This window comes from Homo sapiens, chromosome 11 (genome assembly GCF_000001405.40).
Source record: "Homo sapiens chromosome 11, GRCh38.p14 Primary Assembly".
NCBI lineage: Eukaryota > Metazoa > Chordata > Mammalia > Primates > Hominidae > Homo > Homo sapiens.
Window position 1 is genome coordinate 1,486,780 of NC_000011.10, and position 21,723 is coordinate 1,508,502.

A 21,723-nucleotide genomic window follows, 5' to 3' on the forward strand; every position below is an offset into this window, starting at 1 on the left:
GCGGTGGGGGTGGGACCAGAAGGGAGGGGACAGGGCCGTCCTTGGCCTGCAAGAAGGGTCCATCAGAAAGGTCCTGGGCTCCACCTCAGGCTGCCAGAAGAGGCGGTGGGGGTGGGACCAGAAGGGAGGGGACAGGGCCGTCCTTGGCCTGCAAGAAGGATCCATCAGAAAGGTCCTGGGCTCCACCTCAGGCTGCCAGAAGAGGCGGTGGGGGTGGGACCAGAAGGGAGGGGACAGGGCCGTCCTTGGCCTGCAAGAAGGATCCATCAGAAAGGTCCTGGGCTCCACCTCAAGGTCCTCTGCTGCCAAGCCCCCAGGAAAGGCCTTCTGAACACAGGCAGCAACTCTGCTGACGAGCTCCAGGTCGATGGCACTCCCCTCTCCCTTGTCCGGCCCAGCCTAGCCCAGTCAGTGCTCGGGCCAGGGACGGACAGACGGACAGACAGATGGGCCGCCCTGCCCTGCAGTGTGTACGCAGCTGGAGGCACTCAAAGTGGCTTTCCTGCTGGATGGCCCTGGAGAGAGAAGGGGCCGACCAGCTTCTGCGGTGCCTGGACGGTGCTGGGCTGAGGCTGCTGCCAGCCAGGACCACAGGGCACCCAGCCCAACAGAAATGCCCACAGCAGCTCCCCATGGGGGCGCACAGAGCGGCACGGCCCCGGCCTTCCTTCTGGCTGGTCTGCACACAGGAGACCACCACATCCTGAAAATGCAAACACCTGAGAGGGCAATGCTCTCTCCTCATCCTGAGTCAGCGTGGACCCCACTGGCAGTGACAGCCCCCTGACAACACGGGGTCATCAGGAGCATCCCCCACCCGCATGGGAGCCATACTTCCTGTGCTTCCTGCCAATCAAGAGACCCCAGCATCTCCAGCCACTGCCCCTCAGAAGCTGTCCCAGCACCTCTGTCGGTGTGAAGCCCTGTAGGAGTCAGGACACAGCCTGAGGTACCAGCTGCTGCGGGGAGCACAGAGCCATCAGGAAAGCAGCCAGGGTAGGCTCACCCCCATCAATACCAGCCCCCATGGGAGTTGTGGTGTCTGGACTGCACGCACACACACAGCCTGGGCGCACGGGGAGACAGCACACCAACCCAGCACAGACACACTCTCCAGGAGCCACAGCAGAGGATGGCCCCAGGCCGGCCCCCGCCTCCCTAAGCAGCAGCAGCAGCAGGCCCAACAGGCTGCAGTTTCATTTTCCCCACTAGGCCAGTCCCTAAGCCATGCTCTGAGCAGTGCGTAACTGGTCTCTACAGAACAAACAGCCCGGTGAGGCTCAGGACGTCCATGCGCCCACAGGCCTTCCTCTGCCTTGGCAAGGCCATCCCACAGCCCTGTGGTGCCACACGCACCTAGGCACCGTGCTCACGGCTGCCGGTCTGCCCTCGGGGGCTCCACCAACAGCAGGGACACAGGTGCTGGCAGGTCACCCAAGTGGCAAAGGGAGCCACAGGAAGAGCGGGCTCCAGGCCTGGGGAGGCCCCCGTGAGTAGCAGGGCTGGGACCAGGAGGTGCATGACGCAGACCTGCCCACTCTCGGGAGGCATGGCCTGGACAGAGAAGGCCGTGCAGAGGCCCATGACAGGGAGAATGAGCTGCTGGGGGTTGGAGGGCAGAGCATAAAGGAAGCTGGGGATGGTGGAGGCTTCGGGCACAAGAAGCCAGGCAACCAGGCAAGGCAATGGTGAGGGTGGCACGGGGGCGGGGGAACAGTCAGGACAAGGTGCCGGGTAGGGTGGGGGGAGCACACCAAGCGTGCCTAGTCTGGTCCAGGCAAGGCAGTGGTGAGGGTGGCACGGGGGCGGGGGAACAGTCAAGACAAGGTGCCCGGTAGGGTGGGGGAGCACACCAAGTGTGCCCAGTGGGTCTGGTCAGCACACGGCAGCTCTGTGGCTTATGCCACTGTCCCGAGAGGGCTGGGCTGGCGCCAGAGGAACGTCCACATTCATCTGTGTTTGTTCACTGGGGGACACGTGCAGGGAGCAGGTATTCCTATTGATCAAAACTTAGGTAGTGGGGCAGGAGTGGGGTAGGGTGAGGGGCAGCTGGAACCCACAGACACTGAGCGACAGACACTGCACTGGGAAGAGGAGCAGACCTGGAGCAGGCTCTGCAGACTCCACGAGGAGCTGCCACAGAGGCCCGCAGGCCAGTGACGGGTGCCAGTGTGGCCTGGCCCCGCCACCCCAGAAAAGGAAGAGCAAAAGCACCTTCTGGGCACAGCCAGGGCCAGGAGCTGGCCAGGAACAGAGAGCACAGGAGCGGGGCAGAGGCACCACGCAGGGGGGAACGGTCGCAACCAAGGCGGGACGGGGCAGGGGGCACGGGCCATGTGTCTGTGTCAGAGGTTATTTTACCTTTAATAAGCTTTTAGTTTTAGAAAAGTGTTAGATTTACAAAGAACTGCAAACACAGAATCCCCATGGCCCCCCACTCACTCTTCCTATTGCTAACCCTTACACTAGGATGGTCTGTTTGTTAACAATGAACAAATCCACATTGATGCAGCAAGGTCCAAACTTGACTCAGACGTCTGGATCCATCCATTGCTCTCCTCACGACGAGGCTGGGCTGTGGGTGTGGGTAGGAAGAGCACAGAGGGAAATGTCCCCCTCGTCGCCCCGTGCCCACGGCCCGTCCTGTCAGCACGGCTCATCGCGGGAGGTGCTCCCGATCTCCTGGCTGAGGCTGTGACTGCCAGGCCTCCCCACGCAAAGACGCTCTCGTCTTCCCCGCCCCGCACCGCGCTCTCGAACGAAGCTGCTGCACGCAGACCACACTGAAGGGGTGGGGACCACCCCTTACCACCCTGACGGAGGAGTAGCTACGGGAATTACTGGAAGTTCGGCACCAGAGAGCGGCCTCTTCTTGGTCACTCATTTATATATTCAGCCATTTGTTTATATTGGGATGAAGTCCTGGCTATTGAGGCTGCACTCCGAGCTAGAACACAACACTACTTTGTTTTGTGAATCACACTGTCCGTCCTTGGCCCTGGGGAGCTCCTGCCATCAGCTGCTGGGTCCCCTGATGCACCCCCATCAACAGACTTTTCATTTTGGGGCATGTCCTGATTTCCTGGCACTGCAGGGTGCTCCAGGCTCCCCCTGCATTCCCAGCCCCAGCCCGGGAATCAGCCCCTTCTCCAAGGAGCCCTGGTTCTTTTCATTAGAAAATATTAAAAACTGGCCAGGCAGCCGGGCGTGGTGGCTCACGCCTGTAATCCCAGCACTTTGGGAGGCCAAGACGGGCCTCCCACAAGGTCAGGATCACAAGGTCAGGAGATCGAGACCATCCGAGCTAACACAGTGAAACTCTGTCTCTACTAAAAATACAAAAAAATCAGCCGGGTGTGGTGGCAGGCGCCTGTAGTCCCAGCTACTCGGGAGGCGGAAGCAGGAGAATGGCGTGAACCCGAGAGGCAGAGCTTGCAGTGAGCTGAGATCGCACCACTGCACTCCAGCCTGGGCGACAGAGCAAGACTCCGTCTCAAAAAAAAAAAAAAAAAAAAAAATGGCCAGGCATGGTGGCTCATGCCTGTAATCCCAGTATTTTGGGAGGCCAAGAAGGGACCATCACTTGAGCCCAAGAGTTTGAGACCAGCCTGGGCAATAAAGGGAGACCCCATCTCTACAAAAAATGTAAAAATTAGCCAGGCATAGTGGTGTGTGTCTGTGTTCCCAGCTACATGGGAGGCTGAGGCAGGAGGATCACTTGAGCCCAAGAGATTGAGGCTGCTGTGACCCATAATCACACCACTGCACTCCAGCCTGGGTGACGGAGCGAGACCCTGCCCCAAAACAGTAATGAATGAATTCAAAACTGAGACCTGGTCAGGCACGTTGATTCACATCTGGAATCTCAAGAGCACTTTGAGAGGCCCAGGTAAGTGAATCGCTTGAGGCCAGGAGTTTCAGATCAGCCTGGGCAACACAGCAAGACCCCCATTTCTAAAACAATTTTTTTTTTTTAATTATCTGGGCATAGTGGCATGTGCCTGTGGTTTCAACAACTGAGGAGCTGAAGTGAGAGGATCACTTGAGCCCAGGAGGTTGGTGGCTGCAGTGAACCATGACTACACCACCTCACTCCAGCCTGGGTCTACACAAACGAGAAACGAAAACACTAAGATCAGAGCACTGGGTGGGCTCGTTGCTAGTGGGTGTCACTGCTTCCAGGCCCTCTCAGCTGGAAGAACACGGAGGCACATGTGTATACACACATGCACTCATACGCCTCAATCTCCACCCACATGTCGACATTTGTATCTATACTAAGCTAAGCAGGGGTTCCCCTGAGGTCTCCAGCCCACCCCTGCAGCCATCACTGCCTGGACCACACTGGCCCCTCCACTTGCTCGTCTGTAGCCTCCCCTCCAACAAGGAGACTCGTGGAGAGCTTCGTGTTTTTAATCACTTTGTGAAAACAACAGAAGAAGGAGCTCAAAAGCTACGGAAGCAGCAAAACAATGCCCCCGGCACCCTCACAAAGGCACAGGGAAAGTGGGGTCACTTAAAAGCAAGCAGGAAAGTTTCACAGTTGAGTCCAATGAAAATCAAGAAGAATAGAGGAGAGTAACACTCTCCCACTGACAATTAAAACATCCCAGAAAGACACACACATAACACAGACGAAATCACACAACACAGATGAAGACACACAACACAGACGAAGACATACACATAACACAGGCAGAGACACACAACACAGACGAAGACATACATATAACACAGGCGGAGACACACAACACAGACAAAGACACACAACACAGACGAAGATATACAACACAGCCGAAGACACACACATAACACAGGTGAAGACACACAACACAGACGAAGACACACAACACAGACGAAGACACAACACAGATGAAGACACACACATTAACACAGGTGAAGACACACAACACAGGTGAAGACATACAACAGATGAAGACGCACAACACAGACGAAGACACGCGCATAACAGATGAAGACACACAAAGACACACAACACAGACGAAGACACACAACACAGATGACACAGAACACAGATGAAGACACACAACAAAGATGAAGACACAACACAGATGAAGACACATAACACAGATGAAGACTACAACCCAATAAGACAATCAGGGAAACAATGCAATTTAAGAAAATATTTGAGGCCAGGTGCAGTGGCTCATGCCTGTAATCCCAGCACTTTGGGAGGCTGAGGCAGGTGGATCACCTGAGGTCAGGAGTTCAAGACCAGCCTGGCCAACAAGGTGAAACTCTGTCTCTACTAAAAATACAAAAATTAGCTGGGCGTGGTGGCAGGCGCTTGTAATCCCAGCTACTTGGGAGGCTGAGGCAGAAGAATCGCTTGAACCCAGGAGATGGACGTTGCAGTGAGCCGAGATTGCACCATTGCGCTCCAGCCTGGGGGAGAAGAGCGAGACTTTGTCTCAAAAAAGAAAAGAAAAAAGAAAAAGAAAATATTTGAAAAAAGAGGCAAAATAAGAATCAGGAATGAGAGGATAAACCATTTTTGAAATGAAGTCTAAATTAGAATACAAAAACCACCATGATGTCCAAGTAGAAGATGGGAAGGAAGAATTTCTTAAAATAATAAAGGAAAGAAGAGATTTCTGCTTCCACTCATGACAGAGTAACTGACACTGGACCTCACCTCCACTGTCAACAACTACAAACTGGGTAGAATATATGAAGTGCTTGGCTTCAGACCCAGGATACCGCCGTGCAGGACGGTGGCCCCTGCGCACAGGCGATGACTGGGAGCCTCTCAGGCTGCAGGTGGGGATGGTGAAACCACATGGGGCCTGCAGTCTGGAGAAGCTGAGGTGGCAGGGATGGAAGTCTCAAGCCGCTGAGCTGTTGAAATTTGCAGGATGAGGAGGCAGTCAGGACAGAGCTGCACAGAGAAGGGACTCTAAAAACATCAACAGGGATCCAAGGAAGCTTCTGGACAAATAGCTGAGGGTGTCAGAGAGAACATCTGCAAGACCTGGCAGAGAACAGCTCTGGGAAGCGTGAGGAAGAGAGGTTCTGGAGGCCACACGGGGCAGGAGACAGACGTGTTCCCACACCCAGACTGGAGACACCTTGGGCGAATAGATTTAACAGAGATTCCACAATGGCTGTGCCATGGGGACTGGGCTACAATAGCCCAGAGTGAGGGGGTTCTCTGGACCTGGCATAATAAAGCTTAAAAACAAGCCTCAAACGGATCCTAGCTAACCAAGAGCAAATTAACTGCCTTCCAGAACAAACCACACTACTCTTTAAGGGAGGAAAACAGAACTGAGACTTTCAACAACATTGCTACCACAATACCTAGTGTACAAAAAAATTACTAGACAGGTGAAGCAGAAAAATGTAACTCATAACCAGGAAAAATAAGTCAACAGAAACAGGCCTAGAGATAACAAAGATAATGAAAGTAACAAACAAAGACTTTAAAAGAATGAAATAAATATATTCAACGATTTATTTATTTATTTAGACAGTGTCCTCTATTGCCCGGGCTGGAGTGCAGTGGCACAATCTCGGCTCACTGCAACCTCTGTCTCCCAAGTGATTCTCCTGCCTCAGCCTCCAGAGCAGCTGGGATTACAGGCGAACGCCACCAAGCACAGCTAATTTTTGTATTTTTGTAGAGATGAGGTTTCACCATGTTGGCTACGCTGGTCTCAAACTCCTCACCTAAAGTAATCTGTCCGCCTTGGCCTCCCAAAAGTGCTGGGATTACTGGCATGAGACATTGTGCCCGGCCAATATATCCAAAGATTTAGAGGAAAGGTTGGACATAATCAACAAAGCAATTAGGGCTCTGAAAAAATCGGAAACTCCACAAAATAATAAACAAAAATTCCTGGAACTGAAGAATACATCGAAAATGAAATTTTTGAGATGAAATGAACATCAGATTAAACAGTGCTAAAGAGAAGATTACAATAAAAACATCACTTATAAAAATGTGTAGAATGCAGCTAAAGCTCAGCTGAGGAAGAAATTTATAAATGTTCATATTAGGAGAGAAGGCTTAAAATGAGTGATTCATACATCCACCTTCAGAAGCCAGAAAAAGGAAGTGCATATTAAATGCAAAGTGGAAGGAAATAACAGAAATCTATGAAATGAAAAATAGACAAATAATGAAGAATTAAACACAAAGTTAGCCTGGAAAACTTAAAAAAAAAAAAAGATCAATTTCCCAAGCAGACTAAGCAGAAAAGAGACAGAGAGCCAAGAGAGGAAGAGGGCATAAATTACCGATATCAGAAATGAAAGGGACATTCCTACAGATCCTACAGATATTAAGCGGGTAACAAAGCACTATAAGGAACTGAATGCCAAGAGAAAATGTAGATGAAACAGACAAATTTTTCACAAACACAAGCTACCAAAACTGACATACAAAGAAGTAGAAAATCTGAATTTATAATTAAAAATCTTTCTACAAGGAAATGGTGGGTGCAGGTGGCTTACGGATGAACTCTACACACGATATAAGTAAGAAATAATACAAACCATACACATACTCTTTCAGAAAACAGAGGAGGAGGACCAGCATAATGCTGCTGCCAAAGTGAGACAACAGCATTCCTAGAAAAGGGAAATTACAGCCCAATATCCTTCATGAATGTGGATGCAAAACTCTGTAATAAAATAGTAACAAACTAATTCAACAACGTATTGAAAGGATAATACAGCATAGCCAAGAGAGATTCACCCAGTAATGTAAGCTTAGCTAACACCTGAAAATCAATGTCATTCACCACATTAATGAAAGGAGAAAAAAATATGGCCATCTCAATTAGATGCAGACACAGCACATGGCAAAACGTGTATGCAAACTCTCAGCAAACCAGGAACAGAAGGGACCATCCTCAGCTGAGAAAGGACACCTATAAAAAATCTGAAGCTAACATCAAATGCTGCTGATGGAGTAAAGATTTTCCCCCTAAAATCAGAAACAAGGAAGGGGCTCTGAGCACTTCTCACTCTCACCACTCTTATTCGGTGTCACTCTTATACCAGCGGCACAATGAGGCCACTGTAATGAGGCAAGACAAAGGTATACAAGGCATAAATACTGGAAAGGAAAAGGTCGTCTTGTTTGGCAGGTAACATGGTTATGTAAACAGAAAAGTCTAAGGAAACTGGGGCAAGTCTGCTAGAACTAATAAGTAAATTTAGTGGCATCACAGGGCACAAGGTCAGTAAAGAAAATTAATTTTATTCCTATATAATAGCAACAAATAAATGGAAAATACAATTATAAAACTGCTATTTACAATATAATTTTTAAATTTAGGAATAATCTTAACACAAATGTACAAAGCCTCTCACTGAAAAGCACAAAACAATGCTGAGAAAAATTAAAGACCTAAACACATAAAAAAATTTGCCATGGCCATGGATTAGAAGACTCAATATTGTTAAGATGTCAATTTTCTTAATTAAATACAATCCTATCAAAATCCCGGGATAATTTCTTATTTTTAAAAGAAATTAACAAGAAGATTCTTGGTTTTTTGTTTGTTTTTTGTTTGTTTGTTTTGAGACGGAGTTTCACTCTTCTTACCCAGGCTAGAGTGCAATGGCACAATCTCAGCTCACTGCAACCTCTGCCTCCCGGGTTCAAGTGATTCTCCTGTCTCAGCCTCCTCAGTAGCTGGGATTACAGGCACCCGCCACCATACCCAGCTAATTTTTGGTATTTTTAGTAGAGACGGGGTTTCACCATGTTGGCCAGGCTGGTCTCGAACTCCTGACCTCAGGTGATCTGCCCACCTCAGCCTCGCAAAGTGCCGGGATTACAAGCATGAGCCACCACGCCCGGCCTAACAAGAGGATTCTTAAATCCACGTGGAAATGCAAAAGGACTTTGAAGGATCCAACCATTCTTGCAAAAGAAGACCCAAGTAGCAGGACTCACACGAATTTCAAGACTTACCTTAAAGCTACAGTATTAAACACCGAAATAAACATAAATAAAACAGAATAATGTTCAGAACTAGACCTACACTTACATGGTCAACTAGACTTCAATAAAAGTGTGAAATCAATCTAAGGGGGAAAGGAAAATGTTTTAAATAAATAGTTTGGAGAAAACTGAGTATCTCTGAAGAAAAAGAAACCTTCAATCCCTACCTCACACCAAGACGGATCAGAAACTCAGACATAAAAGCAAAACTACAATGCTTCTACAATAAAACACGGACAGTATCTGTGCCAAGCTCAAAGTAGGCAAAGATTTCCTAGAATGTAAAAAGCACTAACCAAAAAGTGACAAAATACATTTCATCAAAATTTAATCATACACACACTTCTATTCAATATACTGTTAAGAAAAATGAATAGGCAAGCCACGGATGGCATATATCCAACAAAAGACTTCTAGCTAAACTATAGAAAGCAGGTCTACAGTTCAACAATAAAAGAGACAACTCAACATTTAAAAAGGGCAAAAGACTGGAACAGACATTTTACATAAGAAGACAAATAATGGCCGATAAGTACAAGAGCAAGTGCCACGCCTTCCAGAATGGCTAAACCTGCACAGACTGAGAACACCCAAGGTGTGGAGGAGGCAGGAACCAGGAGACTGATGCGCTACAGGCAGGGCGAGGAACTACTGAGGAAAAAGCCACAACTACTGAGGAAAAGGGCTGGCAGTTTCTTGGAAAGTTAAATATGCATGTAGGATTCCATAATTCCATGGCTAAGTACTGACCCAAAAGAAACAAAAACATACATCCACATAAAGGCTCCTACAAGAACGTTCACAGCAGCAGTGTTCACAATAGCCAGAAACTGGAAACAACCCAAAGTCCATGAACAGAAGAACAGCTCAACAAACGACAGTATATTCATACAACAAAACACCACTCAGCAACCCAAAGCATAAAACCACCACCAAGATGCAATGCACAGCTAAGCCCCACAGATGTGATGTCAGTGGGAAAACGCCAGAGACAAGAGCGGGGACCATCAGACTCCATGTATCTGATGTTTAGAAAAGGCCCAATTAGTCCTTGATGAAAATAAATCAGACAGTGGCTGCCTGTTGGGAGGGGAGGTGGCAGGCAAACAGGGCTGACTGGTAAGGCATGTGGTGGTGTTTTCCGGGAAGACGGAAACATTTTGCATCTTGACAGGGGTGTGGGCTACAGGGGAATTCATATTCATCAAAACTCACTTAACTGAATACTTGAGATCCGTGCATTTCATTGTTTGTAAATTATATGTCAACTTCTGAAAAACTAAAAGTTTCTACAAAGGAGGAAAGAGAGAAAGCATTTAAGAGAAAATGGCAGACAAAATTAAAGGGAAAAAACACTTGCAACTACATATGGAAAAGGCACATGTCACCTCAGACCAACTCACACCAAGGCGTTCTAGTAATATTACTAGACTTATGACGAACAGAAAGTCCTTTGATAAAAGGTAAGTTTGCATACAAAGGAAAGAAAATTGTATTTCCATTAGACACCAGTAACACTTTAAATCAAAAGGCTATTGTCATGGATGGAATTCCCACGAATTCACAGGTTGAAGCCCGTACCCCCAGTGTTGTGATGCTATTTGGAGATGGCACCACTGGAGGTAATCAGGGTTAGATGAAGTCATGAAATAGGGTGGGGCCCCCCAGATAGGATTACTGGCCTTATACTGAGAGGAAGGTTCTAGGCAGAGGTCAGCAGTAGCTGCAAACAACACAAAAAGACAACGAGATATTATGCACCTCCTGTGGTGGAACACAGCCACCAGCGGAGCCAACTGGCCTCCAAAGAAGAATGAGAATGCGATCAAGGTCTAAATCTAGCTGCCAATTTACAGGAAATAAAAAGAATGTTCTAAACAATACCACAGCATGCAATTAGCAAAATTCAGACCCTGGGAGACATCACAGGAAGAGCAGGCAGGCTCCACTAACAAAGTAAGTGGATGGGAAAAAAAACAAACAGGAAGGGTGGAGTGGATCCAGAGACATGGGGCGGAGCCTGCAGCCTGGTCACCACTCGGCACCTGTGCCCATCACCTCTGGTCCAATGTCGCGCTCCAGTGTGTAAGGTGCTGTCCCTGTAGGGGCTAGCTGAGGGTGGCCCTGGAATTTGTGCTATTTTTGCAACTTCTTATGAATTTATAATGATTTCAAAATAGAAAGTTAAAGAGTTTCAAAATCTGTCATCCAAGTGCAACGCATGGACCTTATTTGAATCCACATTCAACACTCTAAAAACAAGTCATGAGACACCAGACAAACATAAAGGCTTGATACTCAATGTTATGAAGAAATCACTACTTTTGGTATGATAATGAAACATCTTATGTTTAAGGAAAAGAATCCCTCTCCTTTACAGACATACAGAATAGTCACGGATGAAACATGTTCAGAATTTCCTTCAAAATCATCTGGGTGATGCGGGAAAATTACAGCTGAGGTGGGTGTGGCTTTGAACACACGTACCCACCAAAATCACTCACCCTTCTTTTAAAATCAGTTCATGAATCCAATCTCTATCAAAGACATGCACAGAATTTCTCCAGAGAGAAGCTGCCCCGTGAACACTCCAACTAGTCTTTTCCCTAACAACAGCTTTCCATCGGTTCTCCCGGCTCCTCGGAACAGCAGAGCTACCTGAGCTTAGCGATTTATACTCCATCGCAGCGTCGCAGCCGTGGTGGGGGCATCATGGGGCCACAACGGAAGAGCTCTACGGTCAGGTGTGGCTCGAGGATGTGAGCTCTTCTCAGCAAGGGTGCATGCACAGCACTGCTGGCTCACAAAACTCATGTGCATGTGTGCATGTGTGTGTGTATGCATGTGCACGTGTGCCTGTGTGTGCATCAGCACAAAGCCAAGAGGTCACAGTGTTTTGCTTGTAATCAAAGATCACCACGTGTTCAAGGAAGAAAGGAAAATAATCCCTTCCTAGGAGTCAAATCGATCCACAGGAAAAGTCCCATAAATGGCCGAATGGCAGAATTAGTAGATGACATTTTAAGTCAGGCTACCTGTATCCCACCCATCCAGAAAGCCAGAAGAAACATGAGACGTGGTAAACAGAGATAAAGAAGATTTTTCTTAAAATCCAAACTGGACTTCCAGATGTGGGCATGAAGATGTCTGAGATGAGCACCATGGGGGCCGCTGCAGAGCCAAGGTGGCTGAACTCAAAGACACAGCAGCGGCAACTCTGCAGAGGAAACCAGAGCAGAAAAGGACTGAAAATGAACAGCCCATGCCTGAGCTCAGGCCACCTAACAAGGACAAGCCACAGGCTGGAAAACATTTTTTCAACACACAGATCTGATAAAGGACTTCTATCTAAAACAGATAATGACCTCTTACAACTCAATAACAAGAAGGCAAGTCACCCAATAAAAAATGGGCAAAAGACTGAACAGAAACTTCACCAAAGAAGAGAGATGATTAGCCGAATGAAGCACATGAAGAGATGCTCAACATCACTGGCCATCAGCAGAACGCCAAACACGAGCACAGGATGCTGCAGCCACGCAAGGGATAGCTGCAACCACAGGACGGCCAGGCCATGTGCCTGCAGGATGACCACAGATGAGCATGCCACATGCCTGCGGGACGACCACGGGATGGCCACACCACGTGCCTGTGGGATGACCACAGGATGAACATGCCACATGCCTGCAGGATGACCACAGGACGGCCAGGCCACGTGCCCACGGGATGACCACGGATGAGCTTGCCACATGCCTGCGGGATGACCACGGGACGGCCAGGCCACGTGCCCATGGGATGACCACGGATGAGCTTGCCACATGCCTGCGGGATGACCACAGGACGGCCAGGCCACGTGCCCACGGGATGACCACAGATGAGCTTGCCACATGCCTGCGGGATGACCATGGGACAGCCAAACCACGTGCCTGCAGGATGACCACGGATGAGCATGCCACATGCCTGTGGGATGACCATGGGATGAGCATGCCACATGCCTGCCACGTGCCCACCACTGTGCCGAGAAGCAGGGCCCTGAGGCTGCTGGTGGGGATGCAAAATGGTGGAACTGGAACTGCTTTAGAATGCAATTGGGCAGCTTCTACAAGCGTTAAGCCTATATCCACCTACGGTCTGAGCACTGCACTCTCAGCTACTTCATGGAAAGCACACATTTCTACTGAGACTCGCACACGAATGTTCACGGCAGCTGCAAGTGTGCTGGTCAGAAAGGAGAGAACCTGCACACCCACCATGGGGAGGTGACACAGTGCGGCCTCAGCATCCACGGACCGCGCCTCAGCCACAGACAGGAGTGGCCTGGGAGACACGCGGAACACGGAAGACTCCTACAGCAAGTGTGCTGAGTGACGGAGGCCAGGTGAACATCAGGTTCACACTGTGATTCCGTTCACGGGAAATTCCAGGAAACATAAAGGTGTGACCACAATGACAGAAGCTTGTCAGTGGTTGGGAGCGAGGAAGTGGGGGAGAGAAGTGTCACAGAAAGGCAGGAGTAAACTGGAACCCCAGGGTGATGGGTGTGTTCCTCTCCCTGGCTGTGGCTGTGGCTTCAGGGATACACATGCATATGTCCACACTTGTCAAGCTGCACCCTTTAAACACAGGCGGTTCACGGTATGTCAAGCAGACTGCAGTAAAGGTTTAAAAGAAAAGCAACTCCTCTCTGGGCTCCTGGCCCAGTGCCTGCCCATTGTCCCCATTAGACTAATGGGCATCTCAGACTTGAGGCATTCCTTCCAGAACTGGCTCCTCGGGTGTCCTCTGCAACTCCAGAGACACTTGCTCCATCCTCCCACTGCCTCAGAGGAATGTGGGAGTCCTCCCTGGACCCCTCTCAGACCCCACATCCATCCATCAGCAGGTCCTCACGGCTCTACCCACAAAACACGCCGGGGGGTGTCTCTTCCCCCTACGTCCCTCACCCACACACCCCTGCGGGCCTCCTGTGCCACTACCATGGTCTCAGGCAGGCCCCCTTGTGCCCCCACCCTCCAATCCACTCTCCACATGACTGGGAGTGTGATCCTGGCAAGTCAGCTCTGATCCCACCCCCTGCTGCTCAAAGCCCCTCACGACTCCTGCGCCATGCAGCGAATGAGCCTGAGTGCTCCCCACGCCGCCTTTGTGCCCTCCCCACTTCCCCTCGCTCTGGTCCCTCGAGTCTCCTCTGTGGCCTGGGCACCCAGCACATTGGCACCGCGGGGCTGGCCACCTGTCCTTTGCTGTGGCTGGAGCGCTCCTCCTCAGACATCCCATTTTCCGGTCGGCCACTCATTTCTTCCGTCTCTGGCTGCCCTACCTGGCGCTCCTCAGCCTGCGACAGACAGGCACATCTGTCCAGCACTCCTGTTACAATGTAAGGCCTCTTGTGTCCACTATATTCCCGGCACCCGGAACAGGAGGGCAGGGGTCTTGTGTCCACTATATTCCCGGCACCCGGAACAGGGGGACAGCAGGCAGTCAATATTTGCTAAATGAACGGAAGAAATGCCAAGTCAGCATCAGAGCAAGAAAGCAGCTCTCAAAGCAGAGAGGTGCTGGGTGAGTGGAGGGCAAGCGAATGAAACCTGTCTCCCCTTCTCACCCATGTTCTCAGTCCATGCCCGTGCCCTGCAGTTGCACAGTGACATCCAGGGCAATGCTAACACCCAGGGTGCCAGGGGATCCTCAGGGGGGCTGAACCTCTCCAGCCAGGTGTGATGTCTGCACGAAACACTCTGCCCCGGTGCTTACCAGGGCTCAGTCACCCACACTAGGGCGGACGCCAGCACTAAATGCGCACTCAACTAGAAGGGAACCACAGCCCCGGCACTGGCCATGGTGGCATCTGGGGGAAGCAGACCTCGGGACTTGTGGCACCTGTGCCAAGGGAAGGGACTGGGGGAGAGCCAACCACGTGCCCTGTCTGTTGAACGTGGGATCTGGCCCAGTTGAAAAGGGCCTGCGGCAGGGTGGCCAGCTAGGCAGTGAGCGTCGGGTCTGCGGCTCTTCCCGTCCCTCCAGGCTTGCCTCCCGCCCCGCCACCCCGCAAGTGCACATCTGCACACACAACCACCTCCTGTGGCTGCACTGCTACCTCTCATCTGCTTCTACCTCCTTTGATTTGCCTCCAACCCCACTGCGCCTGCCATGGAGATGGGAGGCCAGGGGACGAATCCTGCACCCCTCCACACCCAGCCAGAACCACCACCGTCTCTCTGTGCCTACAGTCAACCCTCAGCCCAGCCATCTGTTCATACTTGCGGCCTTCCTCGTGCCTGATCCTGCACTGGACGATTCCGGTGACACTGAGCATTCATCACTAGCTGCAATTGTGTTAAGGGACAGAGATGAGGGTGCCGGACAACTGTACATGAGGGGGCTGCTCTGGAGATCCCCCAGGCCTGCTGCCAGACGCTGAAGCCCCAGCCCTACCCAGTGCACAGATACACAGCTCCACACATCGCTGGGCTGGGGTCCCATCAAACCTCAGCTAGGAAGGCCTGTTCCATGGATTACCCACGTCCTCCTCCAGCCCACCCAGGCCAGGGGCCTCAGGTGCCACCAGAGGGAGGAAGGCCTGATGGTCAGCCCCGGGGTCAGCCCAAGGTGAAGATGTGGCCTCATAGGTCCACAGGCCCTCGAACTGCAGTGTCCTGCCTGGTGCTGTAGGGAGACGGCCCTGCTTTTTGTCCCCAGGCCTGGGCCCCCATGACTCCCACCAGGCACGACCTACTGGCTCCTGGGCACCTGACTTTGAAAAGCCAGCATCTGACACCCTGCTCTCCTGCAGATCCTTCTATGAGCAGATGGATACCTGCTCCAGGCAGTACCACGCGGCCAGGCGAGGACACCCTGGCAGCCCCCAGCGCCCTGAGGGAGAAAATGTGGCACCACAGGACATCCTGGGTTCCATCCCAGCTCCCCCACAGCCCAGGTGGGGCCATCAGGCCAGAGTGCTGCTCCTGGGGAGCTCCAGGCACAGCGTGCCGGGGGCGCTCCGGGCAGGCTCCCCTCTGAGCTCAGGTCACACGCCCTCTGCTCACGGCGAGCCCACCACAGCCCGGACCTGTGGCCAGTAAGCCCAGGGTCTCAGCATTTGAATGTCCAAACCGATAGGCTGCGGGAAGAGGCGACCAGGGAAGGGGAAGGGCGTGGGATGAGGGAGGCCTCAGGGGTGAGGGGCTCAGGCGACAAAGAGGAGGAGGGCTCTGGATGGCTGGAGAGAGGCATGTGCAGAAGAGAGCTGGGGAGGAGGCTTTAAATCCACCCACCAAAAGCACAGTGAGGCGGGGTGCGGAAAGTGTGTGAGGTTCGGCTCTGGACTCTGGCCAAGGCACAGAAAGCTGAGGCTGCCCAGCCTGCAGAGCCTGTGGAGAAGGGATGGGGAGGGGAAGGCTGGCAGCCCAGAGGAGGCAGACGGAGAAGTGGACAGATCCAGACAGCCCTGGGCCGCAGCCAGACATGGGCGCGAGGCTCGTCTAACAGGGCTGGAGCCAGGCCCTGGCCCTGACCCGGACATCCTGGATGCCACACCACGCACACTGTCACCTCAGGTGGCACTGCTCATCCCCATGTAGAAGTATGGAATCCCTACCTAGGCCCTGTCCCACCCTGGAGACAGAAATGAGGCAGCCCCAGGTCAACCGAGAGACACCCCCAAACAGCTCCTTCCTCTGGCTCCAGACTGGGCCCTGTCCAGGTGACCGCACACATGGTCTGTAGTGCCGGACACAAGGGCAGATGGCCAAGACCACAGAGGCCACAGGAGCCCACAGAGCCGGCTGCCGCACTGCACAGCTACTACCGTGGGTCCCCAGAACAGCGGGCACCCCAAAGCAGGGCCCCTGCGTGGGCACAGGTGTCCCCCACACACTCTCATACATTGATGTCTACAAACGGCCACATCTGGGGCAACTTCACAATTGGATCGGGTTCCTGGGGCAAGATCCACTTGTCAGGAAAGCACAGACAATGGCAAAGCGGCTTCTCAGTGCCTGTCACGAGTGAGCATGGCCAGCACGCTCTCCAGAGCACATGGGAGAGTCTGGTGAGGGGCCCTTGGTCTCCAAGGTCACATGGCACCCGCTGGCCCTGTGGGCTCCTGGACTTCACTGGAAGTGACAGAGGTGGCTGGCAGGCGCTGGCCAAGGGCGCACCCGGCTGGGGTGTGGGAGCCACTCCTCGCAAGCCGCATGCCCGGGAGAGCACTCTCAGGAAGAGGTCCAGAATGAGCGGCAGCCTTCTGATTGCCAAGAGAAAGCGCCACCCGCTCAGCCCTGGCTGGGGCAGCTCGTTCCTGCCTTCCAGTCACCAGAAGCCCACAGCTGAGAGCCTGCAGAAAAGGAGATGCCCCCAGGCAGAAGGAGGCCAGAGAGCCCAGGGGATGCAGAGAGGGTGACTGCCTGGCCCGCCCACCCATGATGGGAGCAGAGTGCTCCTAGAACGGAGAGGAGACTGGCAGGGGCAAGGAGGTGGGAGGGAGCAGCCTTCAGCTGCACTCCAGATAGCATCCGCTGCCCTTTCTCAGCAGCTTACGCAATTTATAGCTGAGAAATGGCCCATGAGGTCGAAAATCACAATGACAGCTGCACCAAGGGGGATGTCAGCCCTGGGAGGGCGAGAAGAAGGGAGGTCTGGACTCAGGAGGCAGTTTTCTGGGGCCGCCAGGGCCTTGTCCATGGAAGGGCTCACAGCACCTGCCCACTGGGCAGCCCACATGGCTGGCGGCTCCTGGCACCCACGCTATGCTCTCAGCTGCCCCAGAAGCTAAGACTGTTAAACAAGGGGCACTGAAAAACCCCAGGTGACAGGAGAGCCCCATGTGTGAATTCTTCCCCACAGCTCCCTTCAGAGTAGACTCAGCCAGCTAGAGAACTCAAGGTGGAGGCTGCAGCGAGCGGGGAGAAACCCACGCTGTGTCTGCACTCACGCGAGTCCAAGACAGCCAGGGCAGGGCACTCTCGGGACTCCCAGAAGACCCCCAGGGCTTCCGCAGCAGCTGTGTCACGAGACATCTGCGGCACAGAGTGCCTAGGCTAGGCCGGGGACCTGCTCTCCTGACCACACACCAAGCCCGGCAGCCACCCGAGGGTGAACTGAGGGGAAGGGGACCGCACTGGGGCACGGACGCCAGGCACAGACACCGAATGGCTGGCTTTGTCAGAAGACTCTAGGCAAACCGTGGAATAAAACGCGAGGGAAGGGAAAGAGACTCGTTCACAGAGAACCTTCTAAGTGCCAGGCCTCGCATGACATTGGCGTGTGCTTCCCAGGCATCCCCCGACTTCAGCCAACAGGCCGCTGCAGGGCAGACCTGAACAGACGTGCACAGCCTCACCGGACCCTCCGCTACCAAGGAGGCCTTTGATTGGAACTCAAGGCTGCCTCCCTCTAAAGCACGGTCCTGTTGCAGAAAAAACAAATTTAGCCACCCCAGCCCAACACTTTGGGAGGCCTAGGTGAGAGGATCACTTGAGGTCAGAAGTTTGAGACCAGCCTGGGCAACATAAGGAGACCCCCCCACCCCATCTCAAAGAAATCTTCAAAATTATCTGGGCGTGGTGGTGTACCTGTGGCCCCAACTACTTGAGAGGCTGAGGTGGGAGAACTGCTTGGGGCCGGGAGTTCAAGGCGACGGAGCTATGGTTGCGCCACCGCACTCCAGCCTGGGTGACAGTGCGAGACCCTGACTCTCTAAATAAATCAATGATAGTTAAAGGAAACACAAATGTGCGTTTTAGGAACCAAACACACTGCCTTTGAACTTGGTTCCAGGACCCCCAAAAATGGCTTTTGAAGCAAGTAAGCCCCGAGGTAGGGATCGGCAACACTACCCAGAAAGGAACCACGCCCACATCAAGCTAAAGGTTGACCTGAAGGGGCGCTCTTACAGGGCCTGCCCAAAGAAGGGAGTAGCTGGATTCTGAGAACAGCCAGTCCAAGAGCAGCGCTCCAGCCAGCTCTGAATAACCAGGCTTCAGAACCCCTCGACTTCCTCAACTGGCACCCCCGAGACCTGTCCCTGCCCATTTTACTGATAAGGAAGCAAGCTCAACAGGATATTCATACAGGGTCCTGGCATCCGCTGATGGCGTTTTCGGATCTAGAAAAGAGACCCTGTACAAACACTGAAAAGTACCACTGGAGGTTCCAAGCCTCCCTAGAGTCCTGGAATACCACCTCTGTAGCGGCAGGGGCAGAGAAGGTTTTAAAAAAAAAAGCCGGGCGCGGTGGCTCACACCTGTAATCCCAGCACTTTGGGAGGCCAAGCAGGGCGGATCACAAGGTCAGGAGATCGAGACCATCCTGGCTAACATGGTGAAACCCCGTCTCTACTAAAAATACAAAAAATTAGCCGGGCGTGCTGGTGGGCGCCTGTAGTCCCAGCTACTTGGGAGGCTGAGGCAGGAGAATTGCTTAAACCTGGGTGGCAGAGGTTGCAGTGAGTCGAGATTGCGCCACTGCACTCCAGCCTGGGTGACAGAGCGAGACGCCGTCTCAAAACAAAACAAAACAAAACAAAACAAAAACAAAGAAACGTCTCAGGAGCCACCTGAGAAAAGCTGCTCTATGACTTCGGACAGTCAGGAGCACTGCATGGAGCCTTGGACGTCCACGTGGAGCCTCCATACTGTGCATCAGAGGCAGGGAAAACTGGAGTTGCCAAGCAAGTAAAACCCCGGCTGGAGTCGGGGAGAGACCACTCAGGACACACATGTCCATCGGCAACACAAATCAAAAGGAGACCACAGACCATGAGGAAGACGCAGTCTGGACTAGGAGGGGATGGGCAGATGGGGCAGGTTTCTGCAGGGAGAGCCACTGGTGCAGGGGTGAACATGGCCCCCTAAGCCCCGCACTTCCCCTCACACAGCAGCCAAGGCTATTTCTGTGCTGACCCCCGTGCTGGCAGCCTGGCTCTAGCCTTCACACGTGACTGTCCCCCAAGAGGGGACAGCAGCATGTGGAAGGGGAAAGAGCTTATTCCTACATGCCCGGCCCAGAGCGCAGCACAAGCCCATCCTGCCCTGGCTCACCTCCTGTTCCCAGGGGGGCACTGCCCTCCTAGTTCCCACAGCCCAGTCAGCAGAGGAGGAGGCAGAGGAGGAGAAAATGCCATCAAGTCTACCCCAAACCCACCCCTGCTCCTAGCAAGCTGGCCAACAAGCCTCACACCAAACAGGAAAGCACCCGAAACACAACAGCTTTCTTCCACGCCACCCTAGTAGGAGACAGTGATAGCCTCTCCTCCTAGTGCAAGGGGCCTCTCTGCCACAGCTGACCTGGAGGTGCCAACGTCCATGGGGCCTGGACAGGCTGTGGCGCTGCCAGCATGCAGAGAAGGACTGAAGCAAGCCAGGGCCATCGTAGCCCTGAAAGAAGTCCCAGGCAGTGCCACAGGGCTCGTACCCTCAGACAGTATGCCTTCCAAGCACAGCACAGCCCGTGGGCCAGGGGACATCCAGGAAGGAAGACAAGGGGGGCCAGGCTGGGGGTCAAGGGTCCTCCTGGGGTAAGGGTGATCAGAGACTGCCAGGAGGCCAAGAGCCAGGTGGAGGCCATGCAGAAGGAGCCACCTGGAGCCATCGGCGGTGGGGCTGGGGGCCGAGATTTCGGTATAAATTTAGAAGGCAGAGTAATGCACCACCGCACCTCCAAAACTGTCCATTTCAAGCTCAAGTCAAGCCAAACTCTGAACAATTAAAGTGGCTACTGGAGCCTGCCTAGTCATTCTCCCGGCCCCCAGCCACCACTGACTGCGGGAGGGCAGGGGCCTCCAGGGATCTCTGACCCCTCTCCCTCCTGATGCCTGCATTTCGCTCATCCAGGAAAACCCCTGGGCTGGGGGGCAGGTAGGACTTAAGAGCCCCCATCTATCATGCTGCTGAAAAAAGTGGAGGAGCCCCCACACTCACCTGCTCACAGCAAGGCGGTGGGGCGTGGACTGATGGTTAAAACAAACAAGAGCGCTCACGATCCCTCAGGAGCTCACAGGCTCAGAAAAGCCAGGGGATAGGTGAGACCCTGCCTCTCTGTCACTCTGCGCTCTCCCCACCCCCAGCTTCACAGAGCCCAGCAGGGCCCAGGCCGCCTAAGAACAGGGTGGTGGAGCCCTGCCAGGCCACGCTGCCCTTCTCTGGCTGGTATAAAAACCTTGGCTGCAAAATTTAGTCCAGGCTGAGTCCCTGAGTCCCACAGGAAGGAAGCTGGGAGCCCCACAAGGGAGGAGGAGTGGCCTGCGAGAGCACAACCCCCACCCCACGGCCCCCTGGAGCTGGCGAGAAGTCAGCCCGAAGCGCCCACTCGCCGGCTCCTGAGGACGCCTGGCTGTGGGGACCCTCTTGGTCACGGGCCTGACCCCGGGTGCTGCCATGGCCACCTGGCCTGCAGGGGCTCAAACAGAAAAACTGGAAATCAATGTTTTTGTCAGTATTTTTTTCCCCAAAAAATATTGAGATCAGTCGAGAAACAGCTTTTCCTTAGAAAAATGCCAGAGAGAAATGGAAACGTGCCCTGGCGCTCTGGAATGGGGTGGGGCGGTCCAGAGAAGGGCACAACCCCGAGAGACGCATGGAGGTGACTGGTGCCCTGCCCTCCCCCCTGCGCTCTGGAACAGTGCGGGGGGGGGGGGGGCGCCTCCAGAGACGGACCCAACCCCGAGAGACGCATGGAGGTGACTGTGCCCTGCCCGCCCCTCTGCGCTCTGGAACGGTGGGTGGGGGTCCCCAGAGACGGACACAACC

At 53.0% G+C, this 21,723-nt stretch overlaps 2 annotated features.

Annotated features, from left to right (window-relative positions):
* Positions 12,748 to 13,270: an enhancer, noted in NCBI's record as "H3K27ac-H3K4me1 hESC enhancer chr11:1520757-1521279 (GRCh37/hg19 assembly coordinates)". NCBI's record gives its function as "activates a minimal SCP1, AML or CMV promoter by ChIP-STARR-seq in primed H9 embryonic stem cells {active_cell/tissue: H9 hESC(primed)}" and the evidence as "EXISTENCE:reporter gene assay evidence [ECO:0000049][PMID:30033119]".
* Positions 20,318 to 21,151: an enhancer, noted in NCBI's record as "H3K4me1 hESC enhancer chr11:1528327-1529160 (GRCh37/hg19 assembly coordinates)". NCBI's record gives its function as "activates a minimal SCP1, AML or CMV promoter by ChIP-STARR-seq in primed H9 embryonic stem cells {active_cell/tissue: H9 hESC(primed)}" and the evidence as "EXISTENCE:reporter gene assay evidence [ECO:0000049][PMID:30033119]".